The sequence below is a fragment of the Homo sapiens genome, chromosome 4, assembly GCF_000001405.40.
Source record: "Homo sapiens chromosome 4, GRCh38.p14 Primary Assembly".
NCBI classification, from domain to species: domain Eukaryota; kingdom Metazoa; phylum Chordata; class Mammalia; order Primates; family Hominidae; genus Homo; species Homo sapiens.
The window spans coordinates 26,608,555-26,627,211 of NC_000004.12; the positions used below are offsets into that span (position 1 = coordinate 26,608,555).

Sequence of the window (18,657 nt, forward strand, 5' to 3'; positions counted from 1 at the left end):
GGGTGCAAAGTATATCTAGGAGGTATAGCAACCTTAAAGTACTGAAAGTGTTTAGAAAAAATAACCAGTTTTTAAAAAATTCTTTAAATTGTCTTCTCTCCGAATCATTTTCAAATGCAGGCTAGTATAAGACAGCTTATTTACTTTTGATTTAGTACATTTGAATAATTAGCAGGGTTTTTGCAGCTTTTAAAAATCTTTTCTAGGAGTAACAGATTGGAAAACAGTCTCTTCACTTAAATATATTTTTTATCAAGTTCCTTGTTTTGGGGGGGAGGAAATTGGGTAAAAATAGAATCATGCTGCTATAAAGACACATGCACACGTATGTTTATTGTGGCACTATTCACAATAGCAAAGACTTGTGGAAACCATTCTCAGCAAACTATCGCAAGGACAAAAAACCAAACACCGCATGTTCTCACTCATAGGTGGGAATTGAACAATGAGAACACATGGACACAGGAAGGGAAACATCACACTCTGGAGACTGTTGTGGGGTGGGGGGAGGGGGGAGGGGGGAGGGGTAGCATTAGGAGATATACCTAATGCTAAATGATGAGTTAATGGGTGCAGCACACCAACATGGCACATGTATACATATGTAACAAACCTGCACATTGTGCACATGTACCCTAAAACTTAAAGTATAATAATAATAAAATTTAAAAAAATAGAATGTGGTTTGGGCAATATAATTTTGTCAAGCAATAATTAATGCCAGGGTGATACTTGGGATGCAAAAATAAAGACCCATTCCTTGCCTTTGAATTTATAGTCTAGTCAGAAAGATAAATAGGTGAGCTGAAAATTACATTGTAATCTGATAATTGCTGAAACAGAGGAACATAATGTTCTATCCTTGCTGCCTGGCCTAGGGAAAGGAGGTGATATTTGAAGGATGTCTTGGAAGCTAGCAGGTGTTTGCTAAGGTAGTGAGAGAGCACTTCCATCTGAGGAAATATGAACAGCCCTTAAAGGACTGACAGTTGGGAAATCAGTGAATATAGTTCACTGTGGCTAGGGTGTGTGGGGAGGAGGTGTGAGAAGAGGATGTTGTTAACTTGGTGGAGCAACAGCAGGAGATGAATTTGTAGAGATAAGTTGGGTCTACATTGTGAAGGACCAAGTATGCCCTGTTAAAAAATGTAGACTTCTTGTGTAAGCTGTGAAGTGCCACAGCTGGGAAAGACTTATGTTTTAGGAAGAAATGCTGGAAGATAGATTGGAAAAGGGAAAAATTGGTTCATTCATTCGATAATCATTTATTGAGCACCTACTGTGTGAAAACAACTTAGGTTCTAGGCACTTGGGATACGGATAGTAAAAAAAAGGCAGAAATGTCTGCTCTAATGGAGCTTACCGCTTGCAATGTAATGAGATAGATGATATACCAATAAACATAGTAAATAAATTAATCATATAGTATAATAGAAGGTGAGAAATGCTAAGTAAGAAGAAAAAATAGAGTAAGGGAGTTTTGAGAGTGCCAGGTGGAAGTGGTCACAATTTAAGTAAGGTGGCAAGAAGCCCAATTTAGAGGTGGTTGCAGTAATTCAAATGAGAAAGACTTGTCTTAGACTAAATGTGGGACTTTAAAATGGAGAGAAAGTATAGATTGGGAGGACATTTTTTCCTGTCTTTTTTGAAACTTTTTAACCCATAAGTATATAAATTTATATTTATGTTATAGATACAAATCTATAATGTATTGTTATGGGGTGAAGGACTTTGTAATGACCACCCTATAAGTGAAACTTTGCCAGCCACACTGGAAACCTCTCCATTTGCCCCATCCCAATCACAAACCCCTCCGTTTCTGATAACATGATATTTATGGTAATCACTTTTCTGCATTTCTTTTTTTTTTTTTTTTTAGCTGTTCTGTTAGATATTTTATTATTCTTAACTTTTAGTTTCAGGGGCATATGTGCAGGTTTGTTATATAGGTAAATTGTTTGTCACGGGGGTTTGGTGTACAGATTATTTCGTCACCCAGATAGTGTGCATAATACCCAATAGGTAGTTCCATTCCTCATCCTCCTCCCACCCTCTACCATCAAGTAGGCCCTGGTGTCTATTGTTCCCTTCTTTGTGTCCATGTGTACTCAATGTTCAGTTTCCACTTATAAGTGGGAACATGTGGGTTTCGTTTTTCTGTCCCTGCTGTTAGTTCACTTAGGATAATGGTCTCCAGCTTAATCCATGTTGCTAGACGTGATCTCGTTGTTTTTTATGGCTGTGTAGTATTCCATGGTGTATATGTACCACATTTTCTTTATCCAGTCTACTGTTGATGGGCATTTAGGTTGATTCCATTTCTTTGCTATTGTGAATAGTGCTGCAATGAACATAGGCATGCGTATGTCTTTACGGTAGAATGATTTATATTCCTTTGGATATATACCAGTAATTGGGATTGCTGGGTCAAATGGTAGTTCTGTTTTAAGTTCTTTGAGAAATCTTCAAACTGCTTTCCCCAATGGCTGAACTAATTTACATTCCCACCAGCAGTGTATAAACGTTCCCTTTTCTCTACAGCCTCCCTGGCATGTTATTTTTTGACTTTTTAATTGAAGCCATTCTGACTGGTGTGAAATGGTATCTCATTGCAGTTTTGATTTGCATTTCTTTAGTGATTAGTGACATTGAGTATTTTTATATTTTCTGCATTCCTTGATAATTTTATTAATCAAATATATGTCTCTAGATACTATAACTTAGTCCTGCCTATTTTTAAAATGTCTTTGTCTTTTTTTTAAGCTATAGGTTTTCTCTCCTTCCTTTCTTTTTCCTTACAGTTTATCAGCTGAAGAACTAGGCTATTTGACTTTAGAATTTCCCATAGCCTGGAGACCTTTCTTGTTGTAAACTCATGGTATAGCTCAACATGTTCCTCTGCCCTTTGTATGTCTTATAAGTTGACAGGTGGACCCAGAAGCTTCATCAGACTCAGGTATTATCCCTTTGGCCTGACAATAGCAGTAGAGTGTTCTTTCATTGAAAACCACATAATGTCTGATTATCTCTTTTGCAATGTGAGCAGCTGTTTTTGCTCAATGCCTAGAATTAGTAATTCATTGGGGATTGCAAAGTTGTGATATTCTAATTGTATCATATCTGTTTTAGTTATTAGCTAGAATTATTTTGCAAAGAATCATTTCCCCTCATTTACTGTGTGGATATCCAGTGGTATAGTGCCAATAGGAAAGGCAGCATAAATGCCTTTTTCATTATTTACCAGTGTTTAAGGTAATGAGTTAGTTCCCTATCATTCTTCTTTTTTATTACTCTATCAACATTTCCAGACTTTGGAAAGGGAGCGTTGATTTGTCAGTTTTAAGAATTTATAGGTACTAGATTGCTCCAGTCTCTTCAGATATCACCTGGCTATATTTGAATTAGGCAAAACCGTTCCCTGTTTTAACTTCTGCTCTAAAGTTGGCTCATCATGTGTTCAAATGTATGTTTGTTGACTACTTTGGGTTCTTTTGTTTTCACTACATCAGATAGTCAGTTGCTTTCTTCTGCTTCTTCCTGTACAGATGTTGATGTCTTAGAGGTCTTGTGGCAGTTGGTTTATCCTCAGCTGCTTGTATTTCTGGGGGACAGCTTATCATCTAGTTTTGTTGTGAATATTTTCCAAAGGATTTGGCTTTGCTATCTAGTTGCTTGGTCTGTTTTTATGTGGAAATCAAGGAGGTTTTTTAAAAAATCTCACTGCCACCAGTGCCATCTCCCAGAAAGGGATTGAATCACGGAAGAGTTAGTGTGGAATTGAGAATAAATTTGAAGTTTCTAACTTGGAAGATCTGGTAAATGGTAATTTTATTGATGAAGATTTAAAAAATGTAAGAGAAGGAACAAGACAGTAAGTGGAGGATAAGACCAGTTTTTGATTTCTTAGGTTTGAAATACTCTATTTGAGATCCTCTAATAGAAATTCCTTCTGAAGAGGTATGCTGCTAGAATTTGACAGAGCTAGGTGATGGAACATCAACACTTTGAGAGTAATCAAAGCCATTACAAGTAGGAAAAATTATATTTTTGGTAAAAATTACAGTGTGAAAAACCAGTAGAATAGGAAACATGCACTTGAAGATAAAACACTAATAACACACATTTATGAACTAGTAGTTTTATGTATTTTCTACAAATATACACAATGCATTTACATTGAGAAGCAATCCAAAGAGGAAGACACTGTGCAAAGATCCATTTGCATGGATGCAACTGGTTTTTTAGTCATTAGATACAGGTGCCATATATATTTAATATAATATCAAGGCAATGAATTTATAAAATCTGAGTATTTTTCCAACTTGAGACCCTAGATAAAGATGATAAGGACTCATAATCTCCAAGTTTGTATAGTTTTAGTAGACTTTAGTATACTATCACAGATCCTTTAAGAGTTAGTGAGAAAGTCTTCTTTCTTATAAGCTATTCTAGATAGTTCTAAGCTCTATCTTCAAAGAGGATTTTTCAAGTAGTATACATTTTTGAACACTCCTTTTTAAACATTTCCTTTGTTCTAAATATCAACCCAAATGATTTACTTTGGATATCTTTTCCTTCCTTATCTTTCTTTTTTATTATTATTATTATTCTTAGGCCAGTCTTCAGAGACCTGAGATTAAACTTGAATCACTGAAAGAAGATATTAAGGAATTCTTTAAAATATCAGGTTTGTAAGTTTTTCCTAATAACTTAAGGCAAAATAAGAAAATGTTTTATTTATTCCTAATTCTTTAAGCCCTCAAGCTTGTACAACCACCTTACTTTGTTGTCGTTCTGTTTTGTTTTGTTTTAGGCTTTTAGCAGCCTGAAGCCATGGTTTTTGGTTTCTGTCTCTAGTGATAAGCAGAAAAGAGAGATGAGGAAAGGGCTTTACTGGCCCAGTCAGAAACAGAAACTAAGAACCCATGACTGTATTCTCTCTCTTGGATACTCTTGTAAGGCAAAATAAATAATATTTTATCCCCAGCCTTCCAATTACTCATTCAAAATTGTGAAAACTATGGCCAAATAGGTTTCTATTTAGGGAGAATTAGAACTATTAGACATTTTAACAAAATGGTGCAAAAATTCAAGAACTCTGTGAGAAAGACTCCTTTGCATTAGTTGGTTTTAAATACTGTTTACCTTACTGGTAATATTCTGATGGATAAATACATCCATAAGGTGTTAAGTATCTCCTTAGTTAAGTAATTTTTCATTTTACTTTTCAGTTGTGACTTTTTTCCTTGTATGCTTTCACAGAAAATAAAAAGAAAATTCTAACTTTTCATAGAGCAAGAGGAGAGAGAGGTTCCCTAGTCCAACATCTGTATATGGGAACTGAGATGTTAAATGGTTGACCCAGATAGTTAGCAGCTGAGCTAACTTGTCTGACTATTGGTAACTCACAATAATCTGCCTCTGTCGTCCAGGACTTTGCTGACGTGTGAATTATAACTAGATACTTGTCATCTATCTTCAGGTGGCTGTTTTTTGCCGTTCCCTTGGCACATTCCTTATAGCTTTAGTAGTACAACATCTGAAGATTTTGACATTCATTGAGCACTTTGATAGTGAAAAAGGAAATGTTCCTCCCAACTTGGTAAAATGGTGCAATAATGATATTATTTTAAAATATCATGTTGATGACTTTGCTACTCAGTGTTAGACAAGGGATATGGTAAGTGTATAGGAAATAATCTTTAATAACGCTTTACATAGGGATTGGCAGTTGACAAAATTCTTTCACAAATTAATATGATGCCAAAGTTTTATTGAGATAAATTTAATTGTAATGTATGTTTACTTAAAAACTAGTATGTTCATATATTTTATTCTTTTTTTAAAAAACAGGTTGGGAGAAGAAACTTCAGAATGCTGTTTATAGTGAACTGAGTGTGTGAGTTTTCCCACCTATTTTACAATAGTATTTTGTTTAGCTATATTTACTTTGTGAGTAATAAAACCAGTATTGTTATATATACTTGTTGTATTATTATTTATCATTAATATTTATACAGCATTTCAAGTAAGTTGATACAATTAAAAATTACTACCGTCTTGCCTGACAAATAATAAGAAATAGGTGTTTTTGTTTTTGTTTTTTACCACCCACTATTGAATTTTTTTATTTTCTTTTTGAGATGGAGTCTCACTCTGTTGCCCAGGCTGGAGTGCAGTGCAATGATCTTGGCTTAACTGAAACCTCCGCCTCCCAGGTTCAAGTGATTCTTGTGCCTCAGGCTCCCAAGTTGCTGGGATTACAGGCCCCTGCCACAACACCTGGCTAATTTTTGTATTTTTAGTAGAGATAGGGTTTCACCATGTTGGCCAGTCTAGTCTCGAACTCCTGACCTCAAGTGATGCACCTGCATTGGCCCCCCAAAGTGCTGGGATTAGAGGTATGCGATACTGTGCCTGGCCCCACCCATTATTTTATATTAACAATTCATTTATCTAGTGTAATTAGGGAATAAGATGTTTCTCTGAAGTTAATATTTCAGATAACTGAAGCTTACTAATATTCTTTTTATTGTTCTCATTTTGGGTATTACACTTTTTTATGTCTTTATAAACTATCCATTCTAATCATGATTATCTTTTTTGTTCTTTGGCAAAATTGTTGTCATTATTAAGAATATCCATGTTTCTGTTTATTTAGATTTAACATCAGGGTCTATTAAGGTGTATAGAACTGTTTGCCATTTAAAAAAAATGTAGACCCAGAATGTTAGCTTTTGTAGTTTCTCCAACATTCTGTTACTTGTCAATTACTTATTGAATACCTACCATGTGGCAGCACCGTACTAAGCACTGAGCATATAGTATAGAACAATAAACAATTTCTGCCCTCATGGAGTTCATAGTCTAACAGAGTTCCCAAGTCTAATTGCACGTCTGCTTTTTTTTTTTTTCCTTTACTGCTATCACTGTATTTATGTCTGTAGCATTCTCTAGTGTTTAACATTCCCATTTTCAAGTTGACCTTTCCAGTTTGTTAACTGGGAAATGACATAATGCAGCTTACCAGAATTGTTTCTAAAATAAAGAGACTCAGATGAACCCCTATGCACATGTGCTTTAGATACAATTTTTAAAGAATTAGCATTTGCTTCTTTGCTTTGCTCAAATCCATCTTCCCAGTTGGATTTGAATTCTTAAATAATGTTAGATATAAGTGCTATCTAATAATTGAAGTTGACTGTGACCATACCTTTAGCAGTACTGTGACAGTACCTTTGGCAGTCACCAAAGGAATAGATATTTATCATGACAAGTAAGGTTTTAAATTTACAATATGTACTAAAGGTGCCTGTTGTGTATAATTCCAAACACTGGATTCTCAATCTGAGGCAATATTACTGATATTCCTGAAAATTGTTCTGTGTGACCTACTGACCTTTTACTTGATAGGGGAGGGACTATGTTTTATTCATTATCATATTGTTGGCATTCTGTACAATAGAACTTTAAGTATATATTTTCTGAATAACTCGTTGGGATTTTTTTTTAAGCAGTCCAGTGATATTATTTTTATTCCTCATTTGGGTTCTGAACAAATTAAGAAACAAGATAAAACAAAAAAGCAGATGGGAGATCAAAATTACACTTTCATTACCGATAAAGACTAGATAGGAGGACATAGCTTAGTATGAGAGCAAAATTAGTCTTTCAGCTGAACTCCAGAATTAAATGGATTTAACCTTCCAGTCAAATAGCATTGGATCAGGGGCAGTATGTTCAGTTTATTCTTCTCAAATTTAAAAGTTGAATAAGGCATTAAACCTCTTCTGTGGTGTATTGAGTTAAGCCTTAGAGAGAGTCCAAGAATGTTACAGTAATGGAACTCTTTTCATATGGAAGTGCACATCAAGGGTGGGGAAGAAACATTTCCCCTAACATAAGTCAAAAGAATAAAGAAGACTTAGCGTATTCTGTTGCATTTTTCATTGGCAGCAACCATTAGATGGATGAATAAGGAAAGCAAAAAGGAAAGTATGAATATTCATTAGGTAATATTAAACAATGGGAGATAAAAAATACACATCCTTATGCCTAATAGAGGTATAGAACACATGAGCTATACAGACTATACAGACTGAAAACAGCACACTTCGTTTTACTTGTTTTAGTAAGCATTACAAAGATTTTAGTCAGTTTCTTATTTAACAAATACACTAGAAAATTTTCTGTATTTTTTTATTTACATGAAATTTTAAACTAGTGTAGGTTAGCACTCTCCATTTCAGATTGCATACTTTAATTATCTTTTCCATTCATTTAAAACAATTAGTTATATATTATTGTGTTAATAGCTATTTAGTATTAATGATAATTTACAGTGATTGAATGCTTATTTTATGCCAACACTTTATATGCATTGGCTTATTCCATATAATCTTCATTACAACCCTATGAAGTAAAATTTATTATGATCACCATTTTACAGAAGAGAAAACTGAGGCTTAAACCATGTTTTAGTTTGTCTGGTGATGCTATAACAGAATACCTGAGATTGGGTAATTTATAATGGACAGAAATTTATTGGCTCACAGTTCTGGAGGCTGGGAAGTCCAATATCAAGGTGCCAGCATCTGGTGAGAGCCTTCTTGCTGCATTATCCCATGGCAGAAGGTGAGAGGGCAAGAGGGGGTTTAACCCACCCTTTTATAATGGCACCAATCCCACCCACGTAGGTGAAGCTCTTATGGCCTAATCACTTCTGAAAGATCCCACCTCTTAATACTGTTACAATTGCAAATTTTAACATGAGTTTTGGAAAGGACAAACATTCAAACCATGGCAGAAACTTAAGTAACTTGTTGAAGATCATATAGCTAGCAAATGGCAGTGCTAGGCCTTAACCTCCAGCTATATAATTCCAAAGCCCATACATTTTACTATGTCTCACATAGGTATATGTCTTATCTCTTGACTGGATTAAAAATGTTCTGGAACAAAAATTGTGTCTTACATTTCTTTCATATTTCCTATAGCATCAAATAAATGACATTGAGTCAGCAAATAGTTATTGAGCCACCTACCAATGCTAACACATGACAAATATTTGTTGAGTTGAGGAGACAGTGCAATTATTAGTCTTAGCCTTACTGTATTTAAGACAATCTTTACATGCAAAATGAAAATAGATCAATTTATTTCTGTGTGTTAGTCTTCATTGTACTTTGTACAGAGCAGTTTATAAGAAATTAGATGACCTATTCTTTTTCCCTCAAGGAACATAAAGAAGTAAATAAACCTTAACAATCTTATTCTATATGTGCATGTTATAAAAACATATAGCATAGTTTGCTGTTATAGTAGATATATGCAAATGTCTACCATACCTTAGAGAGTTACAAGTGTCAAACAGTAGTGGGTCTAAAATGGAAGGATGTTAGATAATGGATACCTTACACTAGACCACAGATTTGGGTAAGTCTTCGTACACATTCATGGCTTTCGCTGGGAGAGTGCTCAAGCAGTAGACCTGGGTACCTCTGAAACGTCCTAAACATACAGTTCTTCTTTGCCCTCTTAGTTTGAAATGCTACTGTATGTTTGCTATTGTGCACAGAGCCAGGTGCTGTTGTTAATGAACAGGCTAGACAGTCTTTGCCTCCTGGAACTTACATCCCAGTTGGGCATACAGACTTTAAAGAGGCAATTACAGTACAGTAAAATAAGTGCAATGATTAGGGAAATACAAGGAACACGTAAGGCCGGCATTTAACTTAGATTTGGGGATGTCATGGTGGCTTACCAAAGGAAGCAATATCCAGGCTGAGATCAGAAAGCTAAGCTAGAGTTTCTCAGGGGAAAGAGTAGAGAAGAAAAGCACTTCAGGCAGAAGGGAATAGCAGGCTCAGAGATTTAGAAATGGAAAAGAGTGTGGTGCAAACATGGTACAAAAGTTTGTATGGCTGAATGGTAGCAGGTGAAGGGATCATGGCTAAGGACGATTCTAGATTTATAAACAGGATTGTGCCTCTTAAGACTTTGTAGACTGGATCCTAAAAGCATTTGGGTGCCATTTAAAAATTGTAAGTAAAATAGTAACATGATCAAATTTGCATTTTATTCATTCAGCAATATATTGGTTATCTACTGTGTACCAGGCATTTTGCTCAATGCTGGAGTTACAATTACTGGTGAATAAGGAAGACATCACTTCTGGCCAACATCCAGGCAAATTGGTGAATAGGTTGAAAACAGTCTGGAAGCGCTTAGGAACCTGCTGGATAAATGTAGGCAAGGAATAATGGTTGCCTAAAATAGTTTACTGTCAGTGGGTAGAACATCTTAGGTTATTTAGGGAGACTTGGGGGACAAGAAAAAATAGAGTCAAGTGTGCTGTATAAGTTTCTGTGCATTTTTCCTATCTGGCAACTCTTATCTCTGCATATTACTAAATGTAAGCTCCATGAGGGCAGGTATTTTAGCTAGTTTTGTTCACTTCTGTATCTCTTTTATATTGAGTAGGTTGTCATTAAATATTTCTGAAAAAATAAATATCTAACTTGATTTTGGTCTTAATATGAATGACTTTCAAGTTGTCTCCTCTTGTTACCTGTATTTTGGATATGTTTCTTTGATCATTAAATAACTATTAAGATCATCAGTAAAGTCTCTCAAATTTTAATCCTAAATTTCTTTTTTTTTTTTTTTGAGACGGAATCTTGCTCTGTTGCCCAGGCTGGAGTGCAGTTGTGCAATCTCGGCTCACTGCAAGCTCTGCCTCCCAGGTTCACGCCATTCTCCTGCCTCAGCCTCCCCAGTAGCTGGGACTATAGGCATGTGCCACCACGGCTGGCTAATTTTTTTGTATTTTTAGTAGAGACGGGGTTTCACCATGTTAGCCAGGATGGTCTCGAGCTCCTGACCTCGTGATCCACCCACCTCGGCCTCCCAAAGTGCTGGGATTGCAGGCATAAGCCACCACGTTTGGCCTTAATCCTAAATTTCTAAGCTTTATTAAATTTTACATAATTACCATTAAAAGTGGAAGCAAATGGTATATTGGACAATGTGAGATAGTTTTTAAACTGTCTTACATATAAGACAAGAAATATCAAGGTATCTAGAGACTTAAATTTTTTTTCATTTGTGAATGCGAAAGATACATGAAATGTAGATTTTAGTAGAAAAATAATTTGCCAGAAATAATCAATTTGTGAAGCTGTCTTATAGATTAGGTTGGATAGGTTGCCTTTCTCTATTCCAGCAATGTTTCTATGGACAGTTTAGCCTTTTACATGTAGGCTCCAGGACAGATGCAAGTGGTTTTGAAAATTATTAACCTTTTACATGTTTTTGTCCCACTTTGGACCAGGAATTTATTGAGAATTCAGTCTATGGTTCCTGATTATTGGAACATGACTGTTTTGCTGTAGGTACAAGTCTGATGACTAATTTCAAGAGGAGTTATATATTGTTGTGAAATGGATTGGAATCTCCAAATAAACATTGAACCATCATGTCTTCCTACTGCCTTTTCTATCTGTGATTTCATACCACTCTGCACTTCAGTCATTATGTTCCAGTGGCCCTGACTTTTTCTGATCCTTAAACATTTCAAGCATTACCTCCTCAGAATTCTTGTGCTTGCCATCCCTTTGCCTGGAATATTCTTCCCCCAGATCTTTGCATGGTTGGCTCCTTCACACTCATGTCTTGGTTTAAATATAAAATCCCCAAGAGGACTTCACTGACCTCCAAATTTATTGTGTCTTATTACCCTGCTTTCATTTTCTCACGGCACTTACTGCAATCTGATATTATTTTATTTGTATGTGTTTGTGATTATTGGCTTTCTTCACGAGAATGTTACGTCCATGAGAACAGAGAATGTTATCTCAATCACCACCTTATACTTAGTACCTAGAATGGCCCAAGTATTTGTTGACTACATCAATCTATTTTCTTAATAAAAACAGTACATTTTGAATATAAAATGAAATGTTACTGGGAAAACAGTTTATAACATGGACTACAGAGGTAAGTAATATCTAACCAAGAGAATAATGTGTGATATTTAGCTGCCTCTTTTTGCTCCTAGGTTTCCTTTACCTAGTCATCCTGCTGCACCTCCTGAACATCTTAAAGAACCTTTGGTATACATGAGGAAAGCACAGGTTGGCTATTGTTCAATTTCATTTTATTTTTTCATGCCAAGTTATGTAATACAGAGCAAAAGATCATTACTGATGTCAGGAGTATGTATTATTAATTATGAAATACTGGGTAAGAACCACTAAATTTATGTTAATAGTATTTGTATATTCTCCCATTTTATATTCAGTAACCAAGGATCATACCTATTTAACTATGGCAACCCTGGAAAAAATGGGGTAGAAGGGGAAAAATCATCTACTATACTGGCCTGCAATTTAAAATATGGTACAAGTGTAATGTGGCAATCTATTCTTCATGGCCTGTGATATTAAAGGAATGAAATGTGAATGAACTGACACCCTCTTTCCTTAAAATTTTGGCCTTTGAAGCCAGTGTTATTGAAAGTGTATTTAAAATATATTTGTTCTCGCAGTAGGCTGTCACCTATTAATTGTATGCTATTGTAGAACTCTGATAAACCTGCTATCAAAATGGGTTGGCAAAAAACTAAGAATAAAATGACAAAATAAAATAATTTAAGTATAAAAACTATGAATAGTTGTTAAAATGGAAGCTCAAGAAGTTCTAGCACATGCCCCTAGCTCTTTTAACTGTCCTTCATCTCAGCACAGCCTCACTCACCTCCCCTCAGTCCAGTCCTGTCCGTAAGCCTTCCTCACAGTGCTGGTTGAGTAGGACTCTGTGACTGCCACTGCTGAGGCACGTAATGAGCACCACAGTCAGTCGACCTTCATTCTTCAGCATAGCCTCAGAGATGGATTTTTAAAACCTTTTTTGGTATGGAATATTTCAAAGGTACCTCAAAGAACTCCCATGAACCCATCACTCAGCTTCCACAGTTATCATCATGGTTCTTCTGCTCTTGAAAATTTTCTGCAGAGTCATCACATTCCACAACAGTGGAAATTAGGCACTTTTTTCGACTTTTATTTTTATTTAAAAAAATCATCAAAAAATTAGATGGTGAAAAGAAGCAATATAAATAAAAACCTTGGAGATATTTGAGGAAGTATATATTTCTATCTCTAGGTGGTATCTTTTAGGGCTGGAAATCAGTTAATGTTTATTTATCAATTTGTCATAAAGCATAATAAATAATACATATATGAAAGAATTGTGGGTTTTTTTTTGTTATAAAGATTTGGAACCAACCCAATTGTCCAACAACGATAGACTGGATTAAGAAATTGTGGCACATATACACCATGGAATACTATGCAGCCATAAAAAATGATGAGTTCATGTCCTTTGTAGGGACATGGATGAAACTGGAAACCATCATTCTCAGCAAACTATTGCAAGGACAAAAAAACCAAACACCGCATGTTCTCACTGATAGGTGGGAATTGAACAATGAGAACAGATGGACACAGGAAGGGGAACGTCACACACCAGGGACTGTTGTGGGGTGGGGGGAGAGGGGAGGGATAGCATTAGGAGATATACCTGATGCTAAATGACGAGTTAATGGGTGCAGCTCACCAACATGGCACATGTATACATATGTAACAAACCTGCACGTTGTACACATGTACCCTAAAACTTAAAGTATAATAATAATAATAATAAAGATTTAAACTCAGTAAAATAAAACTAAGAAGGTTGGGCCTGAATATTTTTTAGTGAAATTGAAAATTTCTAAACAGTATAGAGAAAGTATCAGTTTTAACATACTAGGTGTAAGAAACAAAACATAAATTTTTTTTTTTAAATCATGACTGAAAAGAAGAGATAGAGAGGTAAATAATAAGTCGACTCTTAGAGCTTACTGCTAGCTGCTGAGAATATATGTGAGTGATAGGTACACGTATGATACTCCTCTCTTTTCTTTCTGGACTTTCCCATGTATATCACGGATCTGCAAACTACAGCCCCTGGGCCAAATCCAACCTGCCACCTATTTTTATAGGGCTGGCAAACTAGGAATTTTATTTTTACTTTTTTTACATTTTTAAGTGGTTGAAAAATCAAAATAAGGATAATCTTGTGACACATGAAAACTATATGAATCACTAAGATATGTTTTATTGGAAAATAGTCACGTTCATTCATTTGCATATTGGTTGTTGCTGCTTTTGCACAACAGTGACAGCCTAAAGTGGTTGCAATAGAGACCCATGGACTGCAAAGCCTAAAATATTTACTATCTTCCCTTTCATACAAGGTTTGCCTATCCCCGCACTAAATTATTCATTCTTCAATAGCAGGGATTGTGCTTTTTATCGTCAGCATCTAGCATAGTACCCAGCCCACAGAACACTCTTGATAAGGTTTGCTGAGCTAATTGATTCTTTAACCATGGCCATACTGATTACCTCCCCTATCAGTAAGTATCTATCTGTCTTTCTATATTTGTTCTTTTTGAGACACTTAGTTGTTTAGCTCCCTATTTTGGGGGGCAATTCTCTCTTCTTTCCATGAAAGCTACCTAGTTTGGATCACATGACTTGTATTGCATCATGTTCTTCCTTACGTTTCATAATCTCTTCCCCAACAGACTTCTGTTCTGTCTGCCATTCTACTCCTTAGTCTAAGGCTACTTTTACTGTTTACTTTCTCTCTTCTCCCAAACTTTTGACTACTTCAAGAGAAAATCATGTAATTTCTGTGTTAACCATTATCTAGTCTCAATTCATTTGTTTAACTTCCAGTGGATTCTTTTTGCTGTCTGCCAATATTATATTTGTTATTCATTGTCTGTCTTCCATTTAGGTTGTTCTAAAACTTTTTCATGCTTGTGTGGCCCCTAATTCAACCTCTGTCTCACTCATTTTAAGCATTTCTCACTTATATTTTATAAAGAATATTCAGGTTATCTCATTCAAGCTTCCACAGCTTCCTTCTTTTTTGTTGCCACATCTCTTTTTGCTCCAATCCTCTAAGATCAACTGTGTGCTGCACATCTTTTTTCTGTGAGATCAAACTTAACATGTCTAAAACTGTTTGTGTTCTTTTTAAAATGACCATCTCTTCCTGAACTTCCTGTTTTTGTTACTAGTGATCAAGTGCTATATATTATTTCTTCCCATAGTCTTATAATTTCCTCTTTCTTTTCATTACCAAGGCTGTTACCATAGTAGTCACAATAATGATGATGATGGTGATAATGCTGATAATGTTGCCTTTTATTGTTTACTTTATTTTAGACATTGTGCTTTAATTCACATCCTTATCTTATTTTTATACCTCCCAACTTTCAGTCTATCTCTCCCAATCTCCTTATGTACTCTCAATACTATTAACTTTAATTATAAGCAGACGAACCCTTATAGCTCACTGCCTTTTAACAAACTTTCAATGATTATTCCCAGTTGCCTAAAAAATGAAGTTCCGATTCCAGAGCCCAGCATTTAAGAATTTTTACTGTCTGTCCTCAGCCTTCCCCTTCCACTTTGTCAGTCTCTGCTGTCTTATAACTGTCCTATGTGCCTGTCCAAGTGAATCATTTTGCCTTTCCCTCTTGCATCATTAACACTTGTTTTCCTGTCCTGGAAAGCCCTTTCTGCCTGTTTTGTGTTACAAAAGTCCTATCTATTTTGTGAGGGTCAGCTCAGATGGCATCTCTTCTCTGATGTTATTATTGATTACCCCTGTTGAAAGGGATCTCTCTCTTGAACTCTGTTGAATAGCTCCCTGTTGTTTTATGGCCCTTAGCACAAATTGCAATTTATTATAGTAATTGCTTTTTTTTTATTTTTATTTTTTGAGACTGAGTCTTGCTTTATCACCCAGGCTGGAGTGCAGTGGTATGATCTCAGCTCACTGCAACCTCAGCCTCCCAAAGTGCTGGGATTACAGGCGTGAGCCACTATGCCCGGCCTATTATAGTAATTTCTGTATACATCTTTCTGACATTTATTATATGCCTCTTGAAAGAAGTAACAGTTTAAAAACATTTTTACATAACTGCTGCATCTAGTACACTGGCCTTTATGTAGCAGGAGCTTAGTAACTTTATGTTGGATTGATAGTAAAGGAGTTAGCCATCTATTTTCCCAATTATTACACTATTTATTTTAAGGATATTTACTGAATACCTACTCAGTAGAAGATTCTATGCTGCAGAAATTCAGAAATAAATTAGATACAGATTCTGCCTTCAAGTAATTGCAAGGTTTAGTAATTGAAATAAGACTTGGACACTAGATGTAATACAAAGTAAAAAGTGCTGTGTGACTAGCGGGAAGTGACTAGGAAGTTTCGTCCACGCACTGGGAAGGAGTAGTATACAAGTGGTTTCCCACCAGGTTATTCTTTGCCCTTTTTAATGAAAAAGAAGCTTTAAAAATCCAGTTAGTGTTTCTTTTCACTTTGTATTCAGTAAAACACGGGTAGAAAATATTTTGAATTGTACCCTGGAAAAATTCAATTCATTTTTTTTTTTCAGTTAAAGTTTTATGAATTACTTTAACTTCACTTAGCTCTTGATCATGTCTTCAGAGTTGGGTTATAAATCAGCTTCCTGCAGTTTCTGGCAAGCTACACTGGTACTTAATTTTCTGGGCTCATGAGGTTATGAAGCTTCTTATTCTGTATCAGCATTTCCCAGAATGTTTTCTGCTAAATACTAACCTTGAGAGATGCTCCACAAAAAATGGTTCCTTGGACAAGGAAGTTTGCAAATTGAGGAACACTGCTTTCCTCTTGATGACTCACAATTTATTTTACTATTTTTACTGGACTTCGTATTTTAGAAGAGTTTTGCGAAGTTAGCACAGAGAGTTCTCATAGATCTCATACGCAGTTTCCCTTATTATTAGCATCTTAACATTAGTATGGTACATTTGTTATAATTAATGAGCCATATTGGTTGATACATTATTATGAACTTAAGTCCGTAGTTTATTCACACTTCCTTAGTTGTAACCTAATGTCCTTGTTCTGACCCAGGATCTCATCCAGGACACTACATTACATTTGGTTGTCATGTCTCTTTAGACTCTCTTGGCTATGACAGTTTCTCAGACTTTCCTTGTTTTTGATGACTTTCGCAGTTTTGAGAAGTACTGTTCAGATATTTTGTAGAATATCCCTCTCTTGGAATTTATCTGATGTTTTCTCATGATTAGGCTGGGATTGTGGGTTTTTTGGAGGAAGATCACAGATGTAAAGTGCCATTTACATTTATCACATCATATCAGGGTACATACTATTAGCATGATTTATCGCTGTAGGTGTTAACCCTGATCATCTGACTGAGGTAGTATTTGTGAGCCTTCTCCACTGTAATGTTACTCTTTTTCCCTCTTTCCATACTGTACTCTTTGGAAGGAAGTCACTACATATAGACCATACTTAAGGAGTTGAGAATTATGTTCCACCTCTTTGAGGGAGGGGTATCTACATAAATTATTTGGAATTCCTCTGCATGAAAGAGTTTCTCTCCTTCCCCATTTATTTATGTATTCAATTATTTATTTACATCAGTATGGACTCATGGATATTCATTTTCTACTTTGAGTTTTAATATTTTTTAATTTTGTTGTGCACAAATTATTGTGGCATGTTAAAGGTTTGGAGAAGTTCTGCAGGAAAGAAACCTGTTTAATTTTATTTAATCCAGTGTTGTTCAAGCTTACTGATCATGAAACCCTATTTCCATGTAAAATACCTTGGGAAATACTTTGCTACGCCCTTCAGTGAAAGCTGTATTTGAAGACATACAGTGTGATAAATATAAGTGCATGAGTTTTCTTGTGAAACAATACTAATAAGCATATAGATCCCTAATTGTATCCTAGGTAATATTCTAGTGCTATACATGTACTCACTCATTTAATGTTCATGATAACCCTATGAGGTGGGTTACTAATGTGGTCTTAGTTCTCACTTTACAAAATGAGAAAGTGGTAGAGCTGAGATTTGAACCTGGTCAGCCTGGCTCCAGAATTTACATTACCTGATGTTCAGTCTGTTTATCTAGCTCAGAAATGCTCAGGCAAACTCAAGATGTACTATGTGGTTGAATTTATTCTGTTCTCTGTCAATCCAGTAACCTTGGCAAAAATGATAATTTTGTTAATTTTGCATTACTTCAGTTCTCACCCTCTTCCTAATGGTCTTTTTGCCTTCTATACTGTCACTCCTTTTCCTAAAATTTCCAATACCTTGAGGATAGAGCTCAAATTCTTTTTTTTATTTTTATTTTTATTTATTTTATTTTTTATTTTTATTTTTATTTATTTTATTTTTTATTTTTTTATTTTATTATTATTATACTTTAAGTTTCAGGGTACATGTGCACAATGTGCAGGTTAGTTACATATGTATACATGTGCCATGCTGGTGTGCTGCACCCATTAACTCGTCATTTAGCATTAGGTATATCTCCTAATACTATCCCTCCCCCCTCCGCCCACCCCACAACAGTCCCCAGGGTGTGATGTTCCCCTTCCTGTGTCCATGTGTTCTCATTGTTCAATTCCCACCTATGAGTGAGAACATGCGGTGTTTGGTTTTTTGTCCTTGCGATAGTTTACTGAGAATGATGATTTCCAATTTCATCCATGTCCCTACAAAGGA

At 35.5% G+C, this 18,657-nt stretch overlaps 1 protein-coding gene across 19 annotated transcripts in view; it reads left to right on the forward strand.

Annotated features, from left to right (window-relative positions):
• The window catches only part of TBC1D19 (TBC1 domain family member 19), a 282,243-nt gene that overhangs the window by 31,878 nt on the left and 231,708 nt on the right, over positions 1-18,657 (forward strand). For 17 of the 19 annotated variants that reach the window (XR_001741277.2, XR_007057936.1, XR_925333.3 and 14 more), the window contains exons 2-4: positions 4,615-4,687; positions 5,854-5,899; positions 12,059-12,134. The exons of 1 other annotated variant lie outside the window; for it this stretch is intronic. Coding sequence is in view for 9 of the 18 variants with exons in the window: in XM_047415904.1 (XP_047271860.1) it covers positions 4,615-4,687; positions 5,854-5,899; positions 12,059-12,134 (195 nt within the window). In the remaining 9 variants the exon portion in view is untranslated. The remainder of the gene's footprint in view (positions 1-4,614; positions 4,688-5,853; positions 5,900-12,058; positions 12,135-18,657) is intronic. One more of the 19 variants, XR_007057937.1, reaches the window with a different exon arrangement.